General features: G+C 39.4%; 1 long non-coding RNA gene across 1 annotated transcript in view, besides 1 other annotated feature; it reads right to left on the bottom strand.

Moving 5' to 3' along the window:
- The window catches only part of LINC02758 (long intergenic non-protein coding RNA 2758), a 140,695-nt gene that overhangs the window by 46,721 nt on the left and 68,847 nt on the right, over positions 1-25,127 (bottom strand). The window contains exon 5 of the long non-coding RNA XR_002957243.2: positions 8,925-9,139. This is a non-coding gene — a long non-coding RNA (long intergenic non-protein coding RNA 2758). The remainder of the gene's footprint in view (positions 1-8,924; positions 9,140-25,127) is intronic.
- Positions 3,921-4,643: an enhancer, noted in NCBI's record as "OCT4-NANOG hESC enhancer chr11:28649825-28650547 (GRCh37/hg19 assembly coordinates)". NCBI's record gives its function as "activates a minimal SCP1, AML or CMV promoter by ChIP-STARR-seq in primed H9 embryonic stem cells {active_cell/tissue: H9 hESC(primed)}" and the evidence as "EXISTENCE:reporter gene assay evidence [ECO:0000049][PMID:30033119]".

Genomic DNA, 25,127 nt, shown 5'->3' with positions numbered 1-25,127 from the left:
ATTAGTATGATAGGACATCTCTTCTTCATCTCCACCCATTCAGCCTTCCCATGCCTTCTTTATTTGTACACTCCACGGAAAATGTGTAAGGACAGGATTTGAAAGAGGATATGGGAGGGTGTACAGGTGAATATAATATTCTGGCTCTATTTATGAATGCCCTGTGAGTGGAATCACACCCTCTGAGGATTTATTCTTCCAGCTTGTTTGTAGAATGTTCAAGCATAACTCATCAGACAACCTATCTACCCACAGACTCTGCCCTCTGGGTCTGTCACCGACGATACACAGCATGATATGTGGCAAAATATGAAAAAAAGGAAAGGCATTTCTGCCTCTGATTTAGTTCTGACTAAATGAGCAACTACAGTGAAGACAGGCAGATCAAACAAATTCCTGACATTAGTCCATACTAATGAAAACATCTATAGTGTAATTAAAGATACAAAAAAAATCTCTTGTAAAATGTGGAGCCCATAGAAAGATGAGGTGATTCACCCTAAACCAAATATAAAGCAGTTTAGAATCTGAGTCATGTGGTACTCAGTGAATTATCAATTCTTGCCAGTGGCAATAGTGGTAATGTTCAGAAACTTTAAAATATTAACTTTATTTAGTTCATTTATGCCTTGCCTTGAAAAAGCTGGAGAGAGGCCGAAATCCAGAGAAGACCAGAATCACATGCAATTGTGTCCATTTTACTGCTTTATTCCATTCAGGCTGCTATAACAAAGTATCAAAAACTAGCTAGTTTATAAACAACAGAAATTTATTTCTCACTGTTCTGGAGTCTAGGAAGTACACGGTCAAGATGCCAGGAAATTCAATGTCTGGCGAAGGCTGTTTTCTCATTTATATATGGTGACTTTTCACTGTGTCCTCATGTGGTGAAAGGGGTGAACAAGCCCCACTGGGCCTATTTTATAAGGGGATTAATCCCATTCTCATGGGATGAAAAGACCCCCTCATAAGGCCTTAGATCCTAATACCATCTCCTTGGTGATTAGGTTTCAACATATGAATTTTGTAGGGACATAAATATTCAGGCCATAGCATCCACATAAAAAATCGCTCCCAAAATGCCCCTAACCATGATAGGTGTCACCATGATAGGTGTTGTCAAGATTAGAGGAGTTAGAGCCATGAATGAACAGAATGGTCCATATATGTTTCTTCATCTCTGAAAAGCAGCTTACATACTAATAGGAAGTGGGCAGTGGCACTGGAATCAAAGGACTTCACGTGGTACTGAAAGGGCAAGGGTGGCCCACCTGTTTCACCCCCCATCAGCCTGACCAGGAGAACCTTCAAGAGCTTCCAGAAGGCAGTAGACACAAATATGTTTCATGTCAATTCCAAAGACTCATAGAACCAGCAGCAACCTTAGCCTTATCAACAACACCTCCTTCATTTTATAGGTGAGCAAAATTGGGACTCAGAGTGGTAAAAGCATATCACCCAAGGTTATAGGTAGTCACAGGTCTGCCATGAGAGCTGATTACCCCCACTAGCATATGCCTTCTGCTATGCAGAATTCTTGGATGACCTCCAACGATTCTCATCTCCATATAATCCCCTCCCCTTTGGGTGTGGGTGGCACCTGTGAAAATGATGAGCTATCACTCTCATGATTATGTTACATTTGGTGGCAAGGAGATACTATCCTGGGTGAGCCTGACCTAATTAAAATGCTGGCTTCTGGCTAGTGGCAGAAAACAAAGTCAGAGAGATGAGCTCTAGCTGGCCTAGAAGAAAGTATCTACTTTGTGAACTGCCTGTGGGGAGGGACCATGTGGCAAGGAACTGCCAGGGGCCTCTAGTAGTTGAGAGAAGTCCCTGGATGACAGCTAATAGGAAAATAGTAACCTCAGTCCTACAGCTGTAAGCAAATGAATATTTCTAGCCAACAAGTTAGACTGGAAGAGGACCCAAACCCCAGATGAGAACCAAAGCCCCAGCCAACACTTTGATATCAGACTGGTGAGATATTAAGCAGAAAATCCAGCCATGTTGTGCTCGAACTTCTGATCTGCAGGAATTCAAAGACAACAAATTGCTTATGTTTTAAACTGCTAAGTTTGTGGTAATTTGTTGTGCAGCAAAAGAAAACTAATATACTCCCAAATGAATTTATCTGGGCAGGGCTCTTTTGATTTCAAAGAACTGAAGCTTTATCAAACCAGCTTGAGTAGAATAGAAAATGGGGAAAGAGATAATTATTGTAAAGACAGAAATTGCATAGAATCCAAGGACAAAAACAAAATAAAAAACTGAAGGCTAAAAAGAAATAAATAAATAAACTAAAAAGACTAAGGCTGAATTCTTGCAAAACTTTTACAACTGAATCAGCCACCTCATCCACCCACCCCACTGTGAACCCCATATTCCAGATGCATGAACTAGTCAGTTATTTAAACTACTTCCCTGCCACTATGCCAGGGTAATAAATACATTTTCTCTTGATGCCCAGTCCATTTGACTAGCCATAGCTGTCTGTAGTGCTGCAATGAGGAAGATTATGAGATTGATGTTTGGGATCAGCAAGAATGATGAATTAGGATAGCAGGTAGTGGCTGCCTGAGCGAGGGAGGGGCTAATAGCCTGTGGCCATCTATTTGCTAACCCAGTGGTCTGTCACTTTTTATGCTGTCTCTCCAGCTTGAAATTGTTCTTCCTTATTTTACCCCTGCTAGCCCAAATTCTATTAATCATTCAAGGCTTCTCCAAGAAGCCAATCCTAATCACTCCTCACTCTATCCATCCACAATTAGAATTATTCTCTCCCTCCTTCTGGTCCCAGAGTACTTAAAGAAAGTATTTAAATAAAGCACTTTAAGGAAAGTGCTTTAAATAAAAATAACTCAATTTTTAAATGTAATACTCTTTTGGGTTGAATTATGTCCTCCACAAAGATATTTTGAGGTCCTAACTCCCAGTACCCCAGAATGTGATCTTATTTGGGAAACTGGGTCTTCGCAGATGTCATTAATTAAGATAATGTCACACTGGAATAGGGTAGGTCATTCAGCCAATATGACTGTTGTCCTTACCAGTAGAGAAGGAACAGAGACATGACACCCTTATGGAAAGATGACCAAGTAAAGACAGATATTCCACTTTTGCTGTCAAAAGCCTAAGAAAGCTTGCAGCTACCAAAAGCTGAAAGAGGCAAAGAAGTATCCTCCTCCAGAAACTTCAGAGGAAGCTTGACCCTGCTAACACCTTAATTTTAGACTTCTATCCTCAAACTGTGAGAGAATAAACTTCTCTCATTTTAAGCCACCCAGTATGTGGTACCTTGTTATTGCAAGCCTAAAAAACTAATACAGATACACTATTAGGTTTTCTGTAAATTTCTGTCTCCTTTATTAGAGACTAAGCTCCCTGAACACAAAGTCCGTATTGCATTTACATTATTTTTTTACATGATAGATGTTCTCAGTAAATTTGAGATAGGTGGATGGATTTTTCAACACATTTGTTGATTCAGCAAATATATATTGAGTGTCTATTACGTGTCAACTACAACTCTAGGCCCTTGGACATATAGCAGGGTATAAAATCAGCTTTTAAGATCCTGACTTCAAAAAGCTTTTCAATGAATGAATTAAAGACAAATGGATGGATAATGAACAACTATTACATCTTACAGTCTGGCAAGGATTGGTTCACGTATCTGAAGTAAGCCAAATTTGCAGAATGAGTTTAATAGTTTAATTCATTCATCTTCTAAGGTTAATGCAATGGCTCCTAACAGGGGCAACTTTGACCCCCAGGGAATGTTTAACATTTTTTGGTGACGTTTTTTATTATTACAACCAGGAGAGAGGGCTACTGGCATCTAGCAAGTAGAGGCCAGGGTTGCTGCTAAACATCCTACAACGCACAGGACAGACCCCACAGCAAAAGAAAAAAAAAAAAAATCATCTTGTCCAAAACGTCAATGATGCTGACATTGAGAAACCTTCAATTAGAATATACAGGGAAACCAGGGAATAGGTAGGAAAGCAAATGAATCTGTAGCATCTCCCATAAGCTAAGCACTGTGCTGAGATAGATATGTCAATGTACTTCATCTCACTTTATAGATGAAGACACCAAGGCTCAAAGTTAAATAACTTTCCCAAGACTGAACATTTAGTAAGTGTTAATGCCAACATTAACCCAGGTCTGACTCCCAATGTTCTTTCCTCCACATCACAGGTGCTTTGTTCAGTACAACTTCCCTGACTTGAAATTGAATTGAAGTTGATCCCCAGGCGTGAGGACATTGAATCCTAATCAATAGACATAAAGGAGACTCCTGGGGCCATTGTTATACTGCCAGGCCTTCAAGAGTGCTCTGCGGGGACTATCGGTATCATGGAGTAGGCAGCCCCATCTGGGGATCAACTCAAAGGGGGCGTGGGGAGATTGAAGAGTTGACCCTCCCCTAAACTTGTAAGCCAGATAGAAACATAGGTAATGAAAGGTTATTCTCTAGTAATACAAGAGTTCCATAAACTAATGAGGACAATTGGGAAGTGGGGGCAAGAGAGAAACATCTAAAATGAAATAATGAGAATATAAAAACTACAGCAAATAAAAAAGATAGAGATGAGAAATATCTGAAAACGAGGGTTAGAAACACAGTTTATTTATTTGTCCATTCAACTGATATTTATGAAGTGCCTACTTTGTGCTAGGTAATATGCAAACACTGGATTATACACTGGTGAACAAGTGGATGTGGTTCCCTTTATCATGAGTTACAGTCTGATGGAACACGTCAAAACAATCTCATAATAGGTGTGTGTGTGTGTGTGTGTGTGTGTCTGTGTCTGTGTGTGTACATAGATTTAGTCTCAATTACATTTAGTGGCAGTTTGGAAAATCAAGAGGCTATTATGTAACCTTGAGTTTCCATGTTTTCTTAAATTATGCATCCTCTGTCAGCCTCTTTACATGCTTTCTTCAAGGGTAACAGCATAATGATGATAATGATCTTCTTTCTTGTGTTCAAAAGATTGCTCAGCAGCCTCTGATGAGGCTTAAGCAGTAGGAGACAAAAGAAAAAAGAGGACTGGGTTTGGAGTGGCCCATTAGAGGAAATTAGCTGGGAGGATTAAGCCTCTTCAGAAACAGAAAGGCTCTTTCTAGAGTGACCTAGTTGAAATGATTTAAAATATATCATATTTGGCACTCTAATAATTTAAAATCCTATTTTTCTGGTTGTTGTTACCATCTTCATATTCCCCTCTCACAGAGAGCTTCACAACAGTCAGTTCTGAAACAAGTGACTACGGTAAATTACAGATTTTTCTGGGGAGGTCTCTGATAAATGTTTGAAGCAGGTAAATTCCATCTTCAGGGTTCATTCACGCCCAATGCCTAGAAGAGTTTTAGCCCATAGTAATTACTCAATAAATATTTGCTGAATGAATGAATGAATGCTCTTTTCTTTCAGGACAACCTCCCATCCTTGCAAGGTACTTAGTACTCTCTCTTTCTTTGATGACTGGGGGTCACCCTTGCAGTTCCTGATACCAGTCATCCATTTACGTATTTGATGAGTACTTACTATGTGTCAGGCACTGTGCTACCAGATACTTCAGGACTGAAGTTTTATTATAGTTACTGCTGTTATTGGGTTATTTATCATTATCACCGAGGAAATGATATGCACTCTTCAATGGAAAACATCAATTTTTTAAAAAGTTAATATATTTTAGCAAAAGATTCTCTATTATTTTATCAACCCATTTACCTCTGCTCCTTACTAGAATGTCAATTCCAAGGAAGCAAAAAACTTGCCTCCTTTATTTACAGCTGTGTCATCACTGTGTGAACACAGTCTGGCATATAGCAGCTGTTCAATAATTATGTGTTGAAAGAAAAAATAAATGAGTAAATTTGTCAATGCATAGAAAGAATTTTGGAAGAATATAGTGGGCAAGGAGCTTCATAGGTAGAAAAAAGGAAAGAAGAGAATGTATCTCTTTACTTAATACACTTTTATATTTTTAAATGTCCCACAAGAAGCTTGTATTACTTGTAATTTTTAATAACGTTTTGTAAAGATTTTTACAGCAAAGTTTGATCAGCTTATACAAATAGTATAACTCAACTTTCTGCAGTTGAATTAAAGTCCGATTACATGAAGTAAACCACCCTTAACAAAACATCATAGGATAAGAATATTGGGTACACAAATAAGAAATGACAGAAAATGAGCAAGGAATAACCCAGACTGGATTTAGTCATTGCTATGGTCTGAGTGTTTGTGTGTCCCCCAGATTATATGTTGATATCTTAACCCCCAAAGTGAAGGTATTAGAAGGTGGGCCTTTTATGAAGTGATTAGTTCATGAGGGTGAAGTGTTCAAGAATGCAATTAGTGCCTTTTATAAAAGATGCCTCAAAGACTTGCCTTGTCCCTTACACCATGTGAGGACACAGTTAGAAGGCATGATCTATGAGCCAGAGATTAAGTCCTCACCAGACACTGGTGGCACCTTGATCTTGGACCTCCCCGCCTTCCAAACTGTAAGCAATAAATTTCTGTTGCTTATAAGCCACCCAGTCTAAGTCTGGTTTCTTAACCCAACCAGACTAAGACAGTTATCATCAACCAATAATTTTGTCATTTTTAGAAATTCTTGTGTTAAACCTTCTAGAGAGGTGGTTCCTTCTGCCCTGCTATACAGAAGCTTCTAGAGCAAGAAGATGGTTAAAAAATATGACTGTCTTTTAAAGGCTTAATTTTGTCTGAGTGACACATTACATATATATACATACATATATACATTATACATACACATTATACTAGACACATAAGTTATAAAGGTATGTAAGGTATATCTTTCCTGTTCCCAAGAAAGAGCTGCCCCAAGAAAGAGCTTAAGGTTTGATGGGTAAGACAGATATGTGAATAGAAGAATTGTGATACAATGTGCCAACATCTGAACAAATTGTTCTTGATAGGAGTTTGCTTATTAAAGAAGTTACGAGAGAACTAGGGGAGAAATATATGTCTGGTAGTTCTTGGTGAATAATCAGTCTTTCCTATAGCAGCAACCAATGCTCTTGAACTTTTAATACACAAACATTGACTGGTAACCTAATATGTGTTTAGCAGGGATGGGAGAGTATTAGAAAGTGATAGTTGAAACAGTATTTCACTTCCTCAAGCCCTGCTTGTTTGAATCATATGTAATTAGCTAATGAGAAGAAATATACAACAAAGGCTAATAACTACCTTGATGACTACTTGCTTCAAGATAGTATTTTCATTTTTGCCCCAAACCCTAGCCCTTTACCCATAAAATAAATTTTATAAGATATTGAATAGGTAGAGCTGTGGAGGAATAAAATTTGCTTTTTCCCAAATTATACCACATGGATAAGTGGCCATGCTGCTACTTAGAATAAGAATTATCAATGGACAAAGCATCTTGCCAACACCCCTGACATTCTGTGTTCTCATTATACAGAGCTACTTGCAATTCTGCAAACACGTACATACTACTTAGGATTTTCACTCCCTTCCCACTCGCAGCAAAACCCTACTTAGAAATCACCTTCTGACTTCCCCAACTCTCGAAGAGTCTATCACTCATTCTTTCCTTTCAATTAATTCTTTTCCTGTTATGTTCTTCTCTTATAATAATTAACTCATGATAGTGTAGTTTCTGGTTATTATGGTTCTTTCCTACCACACTATCAGCTCCTTGAGAACAGAGAGTATCATGGTTCACTCAACTTTGCATTTTCAGTATCTAGCACCTTGTCTGGGACAATGGTGGTGTGAAGTCTGGACAACAGAAATTCTTGAGCCAGAATAATCAGTAAAGATATTATGTTTGTTTAAACAAAAAATCCAGGGGCACAGTTCATCTTTTCTCCACCCATCCAAAATATCAAATTCTTATACACAAAGTTCGAATGTACTAAGCCATTGTGTTTTAAACCTAATTATCAACCCCTCTGCTATGGTTTGACTGTATCCCCCAAAAAGCATTTGTTGAAAACATAATTCCCCACGTAACAATGTTAGGAGGTGGGGCCTGGTAGGAGATATTTAGGTCATGAGGGTTCCACCCTCAAGAATAGATTAATGTTGATTATAAAAGGGCTTGAGGCCTGGGTGCAGTGGCTCACACCTGTAATCCCAATACTTTGGGAGGCCAAGGCGGGTGGATCACGAGGTCAGGAGATCGAGACCATCCTGGCTAACATGGTGAAACCTTGTCTCTCCTAAAAATACAAAAAATTAGCTGGGTCTGGTGGTGGGCGACTGTAGTCCCAGCTACTCAGGAGGCTGAGGCAGGAGAATGGCGTGAACCAAGGAGGCGGAGCTTGCAGTGAGCCGAGATCGCGCCACTGCACTCCAGCCTGGGCAACAAACCAAGACTCCATCTCAAAAAAAAAAAAAAAAAAAACGTAAAAATAAAAGGCTTGAGGCTGCCAGTTCAAGACCGTTTATACTTATATATGTGCTCTTGCTCTCTTTTGTTCTCTCTTTGCCCTTCTTCCATGAGACGACACAGCAAGAAGGCCCTCATCAGATGCTGATCTCTCAGTCTTGGACTTCTCAGCCTCCAGAACTATGACCCAATGAATTTATGTTTATCATAAATTACCGAGTTTCAGGCATTCTGTTATAGTAGATCAAATGGACTAAGTCAAGCTCCTACACTCAAAACTCACAAATATATTCCTATTTCTGTGGTTCTGATCTCAGTGAATGATACCACCACCCACAGTTACCCAAATCAGAAAATAAGGCATCATATGAGGTGGACGTCTATTGTTTTATCTACCCACTAGCTCCTTACTCTCATTCTGATGACCATGCCATGAACTCTGTTTGGAGGAGCTGTCCCTGGCCAACTCTTAGCCCAAATGCTTTGGGATAACACAGTCTCTAGGGGAGGTACACATACCTTGTCAAAATCAGGCATACTCATTTCACCAGTCACAGTGATTGGCTCCAAGAAGGACAGTGGTCTAAGTTAGACAGACGATGTCCATAAGGCTCAGTTCTACGACTGTTGTTTGACCCATTGGAGAAGTGGAATCTCTCTTTCCTGAGGCTGGGTGCCGAGAAAATGTCATCCTGAGGTTACTAGGGGCATCACGCTGAGCCTAAGAATAAAGCCTGGAGAAAACAATGGACAGATGGTCCCTGAGAACATTTGACACCATGAAGTTACACCTGAAGATTGTGTAGTTACTTGAGTCAAAACATTTCCTATTTGTTTAAGCCAGCTTGAGTTGGGTTTTCTGTAATTTGCAATAGAAATTTACATCATTATGGACTCTCCCTCTCTTATCCAATCAATCACTAAATTAATCAATTAATATCTCATGAATCTGTCTAGTTTACAAGTAGACAGTGCCATATCCACTGGCAGGAGATGCTTGCTATCAGCATTGCTTACTGAATTTTAGCCTCAACTTTCCACTCTTTTTTATACCCTTTCCAAGCCAATATCTATACTATAATCAAGGTGATTTTTCTAAAATGCATAACATGATCATATTACTGTGCTGAAACCACCACCTATATTAAACTTTCCCTTACTCTTTCAGTCTACCGGGATCTTTCTTTCTGTCCTGTCAACTGACATTCATTGGTATCGTGTGCAGGCCACTTTTCCACAAACAACTCTAGCAGTTGCATGACTTTTTCCTCAACCTTCTGCCCTAGTCTTGTCCTTCTCCAGTCCAGTCTCTACACTGCACCCTGTATGAATTTTCTAAAATACGTTATAGGATAATATTATTGTCTTTCTTAAAAATTCTTCTGGCTGGGCGCGGTGGCCCACGCCTGTAATCCCAGAGCTTTGGGAGGCTGACGTGGGCGGATCATGAGGTCAGGAGATCGAGACCATCCTGGCTAACACGGTGAAACCCCATCTCTACTAAAAATACAAAAAATTAGCCAGGTGTGGTGGCGGGCACCTGTAGCCCCAGCTACTCGGGAGGCTGAGGCAGGAGAGTGGCACGAACCCGGGAGGCGGAGCTTGCAGTGAGCCATGATCGCGCCACTGCACTCCAGCCTGGGAGACAGAGGGAGACTCCATCTCAAAATAAAATAAAATAAAATAAAATTCTTCCATATCTCCCCATTGCCTGCAATATAATATCTGAAACTTATACTACATACAGGGTCTATGCTTACTTCTCTAGCTGTATTGCTAACTACTCCCCTCACCTGTAGTCTTCTCTCCAGCCACACTAAACTACAATCAATTCCCTTAATGCACTGACCTGTCTTATCTCCTGACTTTTGTTCATTCAGTTCCCTTTATTTTGGAAAGATTTCTCTACTGCTTCCTTTTTCCCCATCCGACTCCACCTAGCATCTCCTACTTATTCCTAAAACAAGTGCTTAGGCATCATTCTTAAAACAATCCTTAGACATTACTATATCCGGAAGCCTTTCATATTGTACCTCACCCAAGTCTGGGTGAGGCATACTCCTCCTGGGTGGTACATAATAATCTTGTGCACACCTCTCTTGTAGCACTGAATTGTAATTACCTGGCTTAATTTGTCTGTTTTCTGCCTATACAAAAATCCCAAGAAAGCAGGAATTGTGTCTTACTCAGTGTCATATCCTCAGCATCTGACACAGAACTTGGCACAAAATCAATGCCTAATAAATATCTGTTGACTGCATGGTAAGTGTATAGTAACTTGAAAAAATATTCTACCCTAAAGTTGATAAATATTTTCTCCTAAAGATGGGAGTCAACCTTAGCTGCTGCCTCCCTCAGAGCTGAGAACAGGTCTCATTGCAGCAGAGGGAAAAAATAAGCAGGAACAGATGATGCGGCATATGCAGCTCCTTGCTCTTTTCCTGCAGCGAGAATTCACTTTCGCTTTCAGGTAGGCCCAGGCTGCTGTGCAGTCTATTCCATGGCCTCCTCAGGGAGCCTAGAGGAAAGACAACTTGGCACTGAGTGAATGAACTGCGTTCTGATGAGAAAGTGGGGGGGATTTTCCATCGCATTATCCGTCCAGCAGACTGCTAAGCGGCTGCATTTGTTGGGTGATGGGGAGGAGGAAGGAGGACTAATAGACCAACCCTGGCCAGTGGTGCAATGCAGCTTCCAGGAAACAGAAAGCAGTGAATTTTTCCTGGCCGCACACCAGACAACAAGAAGAGAAGGGAGGTGGGGAGGAATGGGTCCTTTTGGAGGCTGATCTTGTCCCAGATCTGAGTAACTCCAGCCTTTCCTTACAAGTCTGTCCAAAGAGTGCCCTTTGCTGCATCCCTACCCTAAACCCATCACCTCAATTAAACCTTCCCTAACTCTCCAACATACAGCAATCTCTCTGGCTCTCCTACTAACCACCATACCACTTACTGACCATACATCCATTGGTACTAAGTACTGACCACTTTGCCACAAACTGCTGTGACTGAGTTGTCATGCATTTTCTTATTTAACAATAGAAGCAAGCCTTCACTTTCCTCCCCAACCAGATTGAAAGGTCAGGGATTATATTGTGTACTTCTGTATATGCCCTTTATACTTTTGCAGCATTAAGCACAGTGCTGTTTGTGATTAAGATATCAAGAATCAGGGCCAGGCATGGTGGCTCCTGCCTGTAATCTCAATGTTTTGGGAGGCCGAGGTGGGCAAATTACTTGAGGTGAGGAGTTAGAGACCAGCCTGGGCAACATAGTGAGACCCCATCTCTTTCAAAAAAGTTTTTTAATCACTGGGTGTGGAGCCACACACCTGTAGTCCTATTTACTCAGGAGGCTGAGGCAGGAGGATCTCTGGAGCCCAGAAGTTCAAGGCTACAGGGAACTGTGATCGTGCCACTACATTCCAGAAGAGGTGACAGAGAGAGATCTTGTCTCAAAAAAAAAAAAAAGAGAGAATCAATCAACAGATGAATAAATAGATCAAGTCTGGCTCATTCATGGAAAGACTCAGTGTAAAGGAATCTACTAAATAGACACAGGTAAGGCTTCCTACAGGAATCAACTTCTCCTGACCCGAAAACCCCAGAGTATCAGTGGCAGATCTTCACTTTACCCTCAACCAAATGACATTTGATAGACAGGATCAGGTGCTGGAAAATATGAGCCTCCATGGATCCTGTATCATACACTATCTATCTATGTCCTCTTATGTCTACATTTAGCTCATAATCTGCAATGCTATCCCCAGAGCTCCTAGGGTTATGTTTAGTACCACGGCTACTAGTCCCTATTAGGTTTAAATGGGATTGAGATGTAGGTTAAGTTGTAGTGAAGTGTCTGTTGTTTCAGAGAAAGAGTTTGGCCTCTGTGCATTTGACAAGTACGAGTGCACCCCCTTTCCTGTGATACGGGAATCAATGTAGAATATTCACAGCTACTACCACATTCAAGGAAAGATATTATAAGCCCTTAGGGCTTCAAGAACAATCAAGATATAAGTCTCCACTCTCAAAAGAGATTGCAGTCTAGAACTTGTGGTCAGCAAAGTGTCAGTTCACCAAAGAGTAGGAGTTCGGAAAAGGGAGTAAACATGTCAAAGGAAAAGGAACTTGAGTTGAGCACCAGTGTATACATGGGATTTAGTCAGTGAAAGAGGTTAGTTAGTGTGAGGTCATTCTAGGCTAAGGAAACTAAGAAAGCCACGTATAAAGGCAGGAATGTGCCAAACTCTTTAAGAAACAGTGTGAAAATCAATCATTTGCAAAACAGGTAAGTAAATGGATGGTTATTCACATAACAAGACTCACAGTAGCAGTCTCTTTAACAAAATTTGAAACCTATTACTACAGTCGTTTTAGAGGGTTGTTAGAAATCTACAGTTGTTTTAGGGAATTATTGGAAATCGGCACTGCATCTTTTAGGATTGCAGTATGAAGCTGCTTGTGAGGCTGCATTCATTGCTGAGAGCTGGAACAGTGCTTCTCGAATCTTAATACAAATATGAGTCATCCAGGGATTGTGTTAACATGCAAATTCTGATTCAATAGATAAGGGAGGTAGGTCCTGAAATTCTATATTTCTAACTAGCTCCTGACTGACATGGATGCTACTGGCCCATGAACCACACTTTTAGCAGCAAAGTGCTAGAACATCTTTCACTTTGTTGAAGAAATTCCTATCTATCATTACAGATATTTCATTAAACATTGTAGATGAGAGAATCCTTGGAAGAAAAGATTATATGTTGCAAAATGTATAAAAGAATAACGGTAATTAACTTTATCCCCTATATTGGTTCATACAGGGGCTGCTCACCATCAAATGTGTATTTCAGTCAGCACAACAATGTAGGACTTGTATGGCCTATAATAGGGATCACCAATCTACTGCCTATGGGCTAAATCCAGGCCCCCACTTGTTTTTATAAATAAAGCTTTATTGGAATACAGATACACCCATTCATTTACACATTGTCTATGGCAACCTTTATGCTACAATGTCAGAGTTAATTCATTGCCACAGAGACCACATGGCTCTCAAAATCTAAATTATTTGCTATCTGGCCCTTTTTTCTGTAACGTTTGCTGACTCCTGGGCCTGTAAGATTGAGGACATGATTTCTGAATGTCTTACTAGCTATGAATTTACACACTTAGCTGCCCTTTAAGTTTTCTGCCCTGAAACCCAAATGTTCACTTTCTGCCCTGAAATCCAAATGTCTAAGACAGTGTTTAGAAGAAATATAAAGTCCCCCCAAATTATCTTGTCCAGAAAATCCCTACATCATCTGACTAGTTGGAGAGATCATAGGAGATCTGAACCAAGAGGGCTTATATAAAACTCTTGGCAAATGCAAAACACTTTCAGCACATTTATATCCTTGGTGTTAGGTGTGATCTGTGAACGAATGGTGTGCTGGTTCAGGAGTAAATTCAAGCAAAGGCAACGTTAAACTGCAGGTATGTGGTTGTTTTCACCCATCCTGGAACCCAGATTAGAGTTTGGGGTCTGACCCATCTTACTTGATAAAAAGCTAATCCTTCTGGGAATCCTTGTTTCAGTGTCTATTCCAATCTTGTCATAGAATTATGAGAGCTTCAAAAACACAGGAAGTAAATCTCTGCTAACTACCTGGGGAATTTAAACTGTCCCAGAAAAGAGGCATTTTCCTGGATACTCTTCTAACCTGTTCCATTGGGCCTGGATTGGTAGATCATGAAGATCAAAAGGAAATTAGGAAGGATGCATGTGAAGGAGTGACAAGGGCAAAAGTAACGTGCCCTTAAAAGTTTGACATGAGGAAAGTAGAGGCCTCCTGAGAATTAAACTATAAAATCACCAGAAATGAATCATACTAAAAATATGAGAAGTCATGTTAAAGATTCAGAAAAGCACTTCCAGGCCTGTAAGACTTGACATTAATCCAGATGAAATTATTTGCGCATTTAAAGGGGGGAAAATGTGCCTGGCAACAGAAAAACTGCTCAGCAACAGAAGCCTGGAGTGGAGATGAAGATTTGAGAGTTAATATTTGTGGTACCCTTCTTTGCCCAGACCAGAGAAGAGGATGCTCAGGACTTGCCTCTTTGGGGATTTCGTCCTTCCTTTCTCCCTAACCTCTCTCCTTCTCTCCCCTCTCTAAAACTCCTCTTTCCCTTTCACCCATTCCCCTCTCTCCACCCCACTTTCTCTCTCTCATCTTCCCTTTTTCCTTTCCACAAATATGTATATAATATATATATTCCACATTAGGCCCTGTGCTGTACAGTCTGGGAATATAATATGGAAAAAAAATGGACATGATCTCCACTCTCAGGCAGCTCAGAAATCTAGTGGAGGAAGCAGGCATTAATCAAATAATGGTACATAGAAATGCATAATTGCTCTAAGTAATGCATGAGGTAAATGCTATAAAGCAGTAGCACAATGCAACCTTAGGGTCTTTGGGCTTGCTATTTCTCTTATCTAGAATCTGCTTTTCCTAGATACCCTTAAGGCTATCTCCTTACTTCCTTCAGGCCTCTGCTCAAACATCATTTATCAGTGGAACCTTCCCTGATAACCCTGTATGTAAAACAGCAACTTCCTCCTTCCTCACATCTCTTGTGCCATTTATATTTTCTCCAACATATTTATTACTTTCAGATATTACATATATGTATATATTTTATATTTTCTTTTGGTGGTTGTTCTTTTTTGTATGGCTCTGTTCATGGAAGGAAGGAATGTTAGCTTCATGAGAACATGGACTTTGCTCTGTTACATTACTAGTATCTATAGTAGACACAGATACATGTTTATTAAAAACATGAATAAAAATATATCTGATCTTAAAGTGTTATTACTCATTTGTTAAAAGAGTAATAGGAGTTAACTAGGATAAGGAAGAGGAAAGCCATTGTAGGAAGAGAGAAGCAGGTCAGACCTTGGAGACTAAAGGCAAACCATGAAGCTAGAGGGAAGACGAGGCAAAATCATGTCAGACTTTACGGAACAAGTTATTTTTTCCACTTTTATTTTAGGAGCAGTTCAAAACCATGGAAGGTCTTAAACTGAGAGATGACATGTTCAGATTTTCATTTTCTCAGATTAAATTTTTTAAATGTCATCCTGGCTACCAATTGGATGGTGGATCAGAGGTATCAGAAAAATGCCATAAAGCGTTTGAATCATACAGCAAACTTCCCTTTCTCTGATTCCATGCTCACTAAACTCTTAACTGATTCGAATTTGGCTTTCTGAAATTTGACAAAGAGAGACCATGACATGTGCTTTCGAATGTACATGAAGGATACGTGAGTCAATAGAAAGCAGTAAATGCATATTCTGTGTTTCCTGTCAGTCTCTTCAAACTCAGGTTCTGTGAGACTCTCCTGTGAGATAGATCCTGCCTCTGCGAGCTCACATGCCAGGTTTCTAAAGCAATAAAGCTGAGGGTCAGCCCTTAGGTCTCATCCACCAGGCTAAATTAAATGTCCATCTTGCAGTGCCTCGGCAGCCCCCCAGAGAGCCTGCCCTGATAAATCCCCAAACTCAAACCTTGCTGTCCACTCAAGTCTTTGGGCTACTAAGCAGAAAATCACTGTTGAATTCTGAAACAGGCTTTTGAGGGCTTACATGAAATTCCGAACCAATGCAAAACCTATCTTAGCTGGTGGCTGACCTCAAAGAATGAGCAGTTATGCACAAGGAAATGCAGTGGTTTGGCAACTCTGAATTTTGGGGGAGCAACTCCAAATGAACATCTATAAAGATCATTATTTGAAATGATAACAAGGTAACAAATAAGGCATTTGTTTGAAAGCAAATAAAACTAGTCACTTTGAGGTTCTGCTGAACTCATTTGGAAAGAAATTTGCCTGCTGAAAATGTGAAACGCAGCCAATGAACCAACCATACCCATTAAAGGACTAAAAGGGATTTCCAAACAATGAAGTGCAAATGAAACTTCGGAAAAGTCAACAGCTTGTTCCCTTAATACAACCCCATTCCACCAGGTTTTTTTCTATCTAGACATCTGAAGAGCCCAGCCATCACACAGCTTCCCAGATGCCCCCACACCCACTCCAAATATCGCTCTAAAACCAAATTTTTCCAGGTTGGCAGTATAACCACATGGTCTCCCATACAAAGTAAATAAAACAACATTATTTCCACATGTCATCCTTGACATTTACTTCTGTGCTTTTTTTTTTTTTTTTTGACTTCTAGTTTCTAAAGAAAAAAGTCACTTCCTCCAGGATTCGGTGTTAAGGACAAAAAACCAAACAGCACATGTTCTCATTCATAGGTGGGAATTGAACAATGAGAACACTTGGACACAGAAAGGGGAATATCACACACCGGGGCCTGTTGTGGGGTGGGGGGAGGGGGGAGGGATAGCATTAGGAGATATACCTAATGTAAATGACGAGTTAATGAGTGCAGCACACCAACATGGCACATGTATACATATGTAACAAACCTGCACATTGTGCACATGTACCCTAGAACTTAAAGTACAATAAAAAAAATTTAAAAAAAGACATTAATTCTACTCCTAGCTTTGTTACTAACTAGCTATGAGACCTTGAAAAGGATCTGAGCTATAGTACATGACATTTATTTGTTTATTCATTCAACAGCCTTTGATACTTTACACAATGCCAGGCCCCATGCTATGTTCTTAAGAAATAAGGTAAATAAGAGAAATCCTTTTATAAGCTGTTCCAAGTTCCTTGGGGACAAAAAAAGCATTGCAACAACAGCAACACGCTGTTGCAGAAATATGCACAGAGCATTAAGTGGGCTTAGAGGACAATGCAACTCTGCCCAAGGGAAGCTGGAAATCCATCCAAGAGGAAGTGGCAGCTGAATTAAGATTTAAAAGAAGAGTTGGAGTTCACCAGGGAAGTGGGGCGGGCCTCCTCTGGGGATGGAGGATATTCCAAGCAAAGACATAGCATGAGCAATGACATTGAAGTAAGAAAACAAATGTTTTTTTGAAGGAAACTGTAAATCTTCAAGAGAACCAAGGTTGCTATGAGTTGTGCAGGAGAAGAATGAACAGAAGATAAGGGATAGGGCATTGTGCCTTATACTGCCAGGCCTCTGACCGTATCCACTCAGTACTCATTGTTCCCATACATGCTGACTACTCTTTCTGCCAGCACTAGTGAATCTTTTCCAGAGTGCTTTCTCTGATCTCAGGAGCATTTTCTTCCTATTCACAAGGTGGACTGAAGTACTGAGGTGTTGAAGCCACACACCAATGATGAATGGTAGTTGGTTGATAAATACTCAACAAGCTCAGCCTCTGAGACAGTTTCTACATGGTGCCCTATAATTCCCAGTGTGCTCATAAGCACACATATTAGCTTTCTTCCCTTCCCTGTCTCACCTCTCCACTTGCCTAACATAGCTTCCTAGGATCATTCCCTGATATGGTTTGGCTGTGTCCCCACCCAAATCTCATCTTGAATTGTAGTTCCCATAATCCCCGTGTGTCATGGGAGGGACCCAGTGGGAGGTAATGGAATCATGGAGGCAGTTACCCTCATGCTGTTCTTATGATAAGCAAGTGGGTTCTCACAAGACCTGATGGTTTTAAAAGGGACTTTTCTCCCTTTTGCTTGGCATGTCTCCTTCCTGCCACCATGTGAAGAAGGATGTGTTTGCTTCCCCTTTCACCATGATTGTAAGCTTTCTGAGGCCTCCCCAGCCATGCTGAAGTATAAGTCAATTAAACCTTTTTCCTTTATAAATTACCCAGTCTTGGGTATGTCTTTATTAGCAGTATGAGAATGGACGAATACACTCCCTAAATAAATAAATAACTTGCACTGAAATCTTTGTCTTACTTTGGGGTTTCCCTTAAAGATTTCAGTACAAGTAATTTATTTGGCACGTGTACAGCATGTGCTGCATCACAATTACTAAGATGTTCATCTCCTGAGGGTTGGGATGAAATGCGGGTAGAAGGCTTAGGCATTAGCTCTAGGATTTTAAAGACAGGAATGCAATATTAAGCATAAAAATGAAGTTGTCTGTGTTGTTTTAATGGCAACAGAAAACTTGAAAATACAATGACAGATCAGCCAACTATCAACTCAGGGCATAATGTGAAAGGTGGCGCGACTCCATGGCAGCATGAAGAGACTTAATTTCCTGCAGCTTGAAGGCAGACTATGGCTGAAAATAACACCCAAAATCTGATTGTAAAAATGACAGAGTTAAAAAGGAGGCTAAATTCACAGCTCTGGCAAGACCCTTATGTGAGAGTTCAGGTCCTAAAAGGAAGGAGTGGGTTCTTGAGAACAGGAGTGAGAATATTTGGTGAATCTGCTTGAGAACAAACTCAGATTCCCCTCACCCTTCTGGGCTGGCAGAAGAGGCTGCCTCCACATGGATAAAGAAGAGCATCCCTCCATGGCCTGGAAACCATGCAAAGTCCTTCATTTGAGACAGACTCATTGTAAGATAATCTTGGCTTCTTCAGGATCTGCCTTTATCTTCCCTCATTGTTTTGAGAAGAGTGAAAAATATATTTGACTAATTAGAAAATTTATTGTTAATTAACTTTTAGCATATGTGTGGTTCTTACTGTATACACTTAAAAGAACTCTTATACTTTTAAGTGTTTTATGTGAACTCACTGAATTTTAAGATAGATTTCATTATAAAGATTTATGCCCCTCTGTTTTACTTATTTTGCAAAGGTAGAAAAGGGACAAAGATAAACACAGTCTTAATAAGTTGATTTTTCAAATAGGGTAGTGCAATTATGTCAAATATATAGAACTTTCAATCACTGCAGAAAATACTTTTGGATAGCAGTGGCTCTAGACATATAGGTTATATAGGACCAAGTCACAGCATGGCCCAAGCAGAGACTTATTGAAATGGGAAACAAGACCAAAATGGCAACCATGATCCTTGAGCCACAGGAATCTAAGGTGACTGCTAATAAACCATGCATGTGCCAAAGGTAAGGTAGATGGACAGCTAACAAGAATAAAGCTTAACTCATATACCAAAAATATAAAGACAAAAATATGACTCTCAAAACTCAATAATAACTTTCAAAACAAACCAATAAAACAGTGTACAAAACATTTGAACAGATGCCTTGCCACGAAAGAAACCCAGAAGGCAAATAAGCACTTGAAAAGATGATCAACATAATTAGTCATTAGGGAATATAAATTAAAACCACAAGGAGATACCACCACACACTTACTAAAACAGCTAAAATTAAAAAGACTGACCATACAAAATGTTGGAGAGGATGTGATGGAACTGGAACTCTCACAGAACAACCACTTTAGAAAAAAACTGGTGATTTTTTAAAAAGTTAAGACACACCTCTCATGTCATGCATCCATACACTCCTAGGTGCTTACTAAAGAGAAAAGAAAGTATATGTCTGTACAAAAACTTGTATATGCATTTTTAAAGCAGCTTTATTCATGAAAGCCAAAAACTGGAAACAGTCTATATGTCCATCAACAGGTGAATGGATAAACAAAGCATAGGATATCCTCATAGTGAAATATACAGGCTAATGAATAAACAAAGCATGGTATATCCTTATAGTGAAGTAGCAATGAAAAGGAGTACATTATAAGTAATATACAACATAGATGACTTTCAAAATGTTTACACTGAGTAAAAGAAATGGGGCTATTTCTACCCTCATACAAAGAGCAGAATTGCTTTCGCTTGCTACAAAAGCAGTAACTCCCCAAGCTCAGTGTTCCTCAACCATGTTGCAAACCTACCGTGTGTGCAGCATCTACTCGGGCCTCTCCACATCATTCCCATATGATTTTGAACAGTGGTAGTGGCAGGGATAGAGGCTATGCATGGACACAACAGCATGGTTTCCCACTCACCAAGGCTAATGTAGTAATCCCTACTGTCAAATATTTAACTTGTTGGCTAATGCCAACAGGTTGGGATACTAACACTGAGCCCTTGATATAGTACCATTCCTCAAGGAAACCAACCAGCCATTTGTTGGTAAGTCAATGATATCTGTCTCCACTCTAAAAGTGTAGTGAATCATCCTGAAATTGATAATATATTCTGGTTATGAATTTTCCTTCTCTGCCTGTAATATCTTGGTCAGCATCATTATTTAATGGTTTAGAGACTGTCTATTTACTGAGATCCCATATAATATCCCCTCAGACAAATGACTCACTTTAAGACAAAGGAGACGTGAAATGGGCATGTGATGATGAGACTAACTTTTCCTACCAATACTGCATTATCTGGAAGCTGCTGGCCTGATAGAATGTTGGAATAGCCTCTAGAGATGTAGTTAATACACCAGCTTAGGGATTAACCTTGCAGAATTGGAGTGCTGTTCTTCAAGATATAGTATATGGTTCTAACCAATGGTCATTATGTAGTGTTCCATTTCTAACAGAATACCAGAATCTGGGAACTCAAGGATGAAACAACTACTTCCAGTGATCTGCTAAGGGAATTTGTGCTTCGCATTTCCACAACTTCAGATTCTACTGGTCTCCATGGGGAGGCACTTTTGCCAGCAGACAGTAAAGGTCCTTTTAATCCTAAAGCTGTACCTGCTGCCTGATCATTTGGGGCTTTCTATTGACAGGAACCACTGAAAGTTTCTATATTGTCAGCAGTAGCTAACCCTAGGAAGCATGAGAAGGTTACTGCTATGGAGTTGGAGTAGTAGAGAGAATTGTGTGGAACTTAGGGGATTCACTGGGGCATCTCTTGCTATTTTCCGACTGTTGATAAACGTGAACCATCAATTCCAGAAGCAACAGACTGACTAGGGCCAGTAATAAGGACGCTGACCCTCTCAGGGATAAAGGTCTGGATTACTCAATAGGCCAAGCAACCTAGAAAAGCAGAAGTTTTGGATGAGGATGAGGGAAATCTAGATGGATGGTATAGGAAGGAGACGATAAGTATCAATAGTGGCTTCAGGACCATCCACAGCAGTGGGTACTGTAACTTATGCCACTAAATCTCTTTTTATTTTTTCTTCCAAGAAATTGTAATAATCCACTATAATGGAGAACCAGTAAGGGAACAGAATAAACTTAATATGGGGCACTAGTAGATATCAGAGGGCAAAGGAAGAGTCCATCTGGTGGGCTAGTAGATATCAGAGGGGAAAGGAAGCAATTCCACCTGGTCTCACAGAAGCGCCCTCAGCCTTGAGCACAATTGCCTTGCAGCAGGAAGCTTCTCATCGATCAGTCTTATGTTATCTTCCTTCCCCTCCTCTCATTTTCCCACTAGATGAGGAATGCCAAAGAGTATATGAGGAAAGTCGAACTGGATGATTTCCACATTCACTTTTATTTTAAAGTTCTGTACTTTGAAAACCAAATATGAGACTCAACCCCTTTGAGATGTTTCCCCTCATGAGCCCCATATCAAATTGAGCACATCTTAGTTCTTCTGCTTCTCAGTACTGGCAGTTTGGATGACAACTTTAATTCAGATTTACTTTACTTTCCAGTTGTGGAGTCCCAGTGTGGTCTCCCCAACTAGATGCCTCGTCAAACCATATCATCTAAAGTAGTTAGTTTCTAAGTATTTTATCCTCAAAGTAATAATAATAACTTCACCCAAGTACTCACAACAACCTTGTGAAGTAGGTTCTATTATTATTGTTCCTATTCTGTAGAAACATGAACTAAGACTTGGGGATATTAAGTTATTTCCCCAAGGGCACTCGGCTTGTAAGTGGAAGCAGCAGGCTTTGAACTCAGACACTCTGTCTTCTTAACCATTATCCTCTACCACTTCTCAAGGACTATTTTTAGTCATGTTTTTCCTTTATGGAAACCTTTTTTGAAACATTTGTCTGTATAAACTAATTATATATGAATTACCAAATTTTATTAAATAATAAATTCCTTTTCTTTTTTAATTAACCAAAGATGTATAGAATTTCCAACCATAAACTTGAACAAGCTAGTATAATAACTAGAATATAATCTCTATAACAGCTATTTGTTGAATGAATGAAAAAGCTTAGCTTATATAATTCCAGCGAAAGTTAAATACACTTGATATTTAAGTTAGCCTCTGCAACTTGGACAGGGGTATTTTCGTGTTAAGTTATTCCAGATATAAAATATCAAAAACAAATTCAACAAACTTCATTGTCACCTGCTGGACTCTAAGTGGGCTAAGGATTCCAAATGTTTCCTTATCTGCTGAACTCTTTCTGGGGGGGTTTGCAGAAGAAGTGGCTGTTGTTGTTTTGTTTTGTTTTGTTTTGTTTTGTGTTTTTGATCTTTTTCTTCTATTGGAAAGCCCCAAGACTCCTTTGCAAAACAAAAAACTGATTCCTCAGGAATGGTTCAGCTACAGTGGTAAGGAATAGAGCACTCAATCTCATTTGGACTACTCCTGATATACTGATTTCTCTGGTTTCACACTTGTCCCCATATGTCACAGTTATAATTATCACTTAAAAATACAAATCAGATCCTAGCACTCTCCTACACAAAACCCTTATGGGGCTGCCAATGTTTACGTTAAATTAAATCTCAACTTTTTACCATGGCTTATAAGACTCCGTAAGACCTATTTTCCAAGAAAAATACTATATGCTTCTTTTTTTCCCTTGGAAAACTGAACAATCTCCAGAAAATCCGTGAAATTTGGTGGATCTTCCTATTGAAATGTGTCGCTCACCATTCAATCATCTGATAGTAGTCCACCAATCCAATCTCAGACACAGAACTCTCAATTGGTCTCTCGGTGCCTCACACTTGAGTAGGAACTGACAGCTAAGGATCAGCAGGTGTTTTAGGAAGGCTTCCAACATGAAAGAAAAAGACTCAAGCAGGCAAACAAACAGAAATAAATCCATACTTAATAGCCTCACAATTAACAAAGGATAATTAAATTTTTTTGCATCCAAATAAGAAGAGGATTCCATGAAAATAAAGAAACAAGTAGCAAAGAAGAAATCACTCCTGGTAATTTAAACTAGCCAAAATAAAACACTCAATAGGAGGTTTAGAAGAAGGCATCAAGAAAATCTCTAGGAAAGTACGCAAAAGGACCAAGAGAAAATAGGAAAGAAGAAAGAAAAACAGGAAAGGAGAAATAGAGGGTCAAACAGGAAGTTTAACATCTCTCTAGTGTGGGTAGCAGGGAAACTAAAAATACATAGAAGTGATAAATTTATCAGAGAAGGGATATAGCAAAATTCCCCAGAACTGAAAAGGAAATCTCCAGAAATAAATGGAAAGAAGGACTATAAAAGAGGTAAATCTTGACTTACCTCAACACGGGCAGTTAATAACTAATGTCTAAAGTTAACAAACCAAGAAACAGCAGTATAAGCATGTTATTTAGAAACTCGGAGGTAAATACCCAAATCAATAGGTATGAGGGTTGAAATGAATCCCTCTGAGAAGAGAATCTGAAGGATAAGGTAGAATAGGGAAGAGTAAAGCAAAGGAGTGCTATTTATGTATATATATAAAAAATTATATGTACTCTTTGGTATCTTAAAATATGCACATGTATTACTTAGACTAAAATATAGAAATAAAGCTACAGTACATAAACTATGTAATAAATATTTTTTTTCCAAGGCATGGTTTTTGTCCTGGAAATTTTGGCCTTTTGGCAGCACCTTTCAGGAATATTTTCCTCACAGTATTCCTTTCAAACTGATGTGCTTAACGTTATTTGTGATATCGTCCTGATGTGAGTTTTATGGAAGTGATCTGAGGACCATGCTTTGGGAAACTGGTCTATTCCAAAGGATTCCCTGCAATTGCAAGCATTACAGCTCAGCTAGGGGTACTGCAAGGCAATTTAAGGAAAAAACAAACAAAACCAAAAACAAAATAGTTAAGTGTGACTTTAGTCTTTTTCTTTGTCCTATATCTTCCATGTCAATTGTGGAATTCGTTGTGATTATCAGAAGTGCTGGTTGAGTATTCAGGCCCCGGGGTACCCTCATTTCTCCTATCTATTCCTTATAGATATGGCTTACCGCATCCAACACAGTGGTTTGCCCAGTATTAATAACTAAGAAGGTACCTAATAGTTAGGGAAAGAAGGAAGAGACAGGAAGAATGGGATAGAAAAAAGATATGCAGGACATAATCAATTTTTTATATCTGAAATGCTGTACAATGAACAACAGTAATTAGTTGGTGGTTGGCTCTACATATAGAATGTAATTTAATTGTTTTGACTGTTATAATAAAAGACTTTCAATCTATAGTTATTGTGCATCTAAGCTAATGACCAGCACAAGATATAGAAAGAAAAATATCATAAGCATTGACTAATGTCCATAAGTACTTTAAATTCTCCTCTGGGATACAAAGTTGACACACATGAAACAAGCAAGCGTGTAGCTATTATGTGATGTGATTTGGGCAGGAAGTACAAAATAAGTCATTGCTTCTCAAACAGACCAGAAATTATTACTTGAGTAATAAAACATGTATGCTACCTATATTGTAGCACTTTTCATGTATTCTTTTACATACTATGCATAACTGCTTTGTAAGTAATTATTATTACTGCCTCCATATTAAGAAAGACTTGGAGGAATTACATATGTCGGATTCACACAGCCAGGGTGGTGATGTAATTTTAACTGATTCCGGACTTAGGTCGGCTCACTTATTGTTCTAAAGAGCAGATAACACACGGAGAGGTGCAGAAGAGAGGGAAAGCCATCAAAAGTGAG

The sequence above is a fragment of the Homo sapiens genome, chromosome 11 (assembly GCF_000001405.40).
Source record: "Homo sapiens chromosome 11, GRCh38.p14 Primary Assembly".
In the NCBI taxonomy this organism is placed as follows: domain Eukaryota; kingdom Metazoa; phylum Chordata; class Mammalia; order Primates; family Hominidae; genus Homo; species Homo sapiens.
Note: the sequence above shows the minus strand (reverse complement) of the source record. Positions and strands in the feature narration are given on the sequence as shown.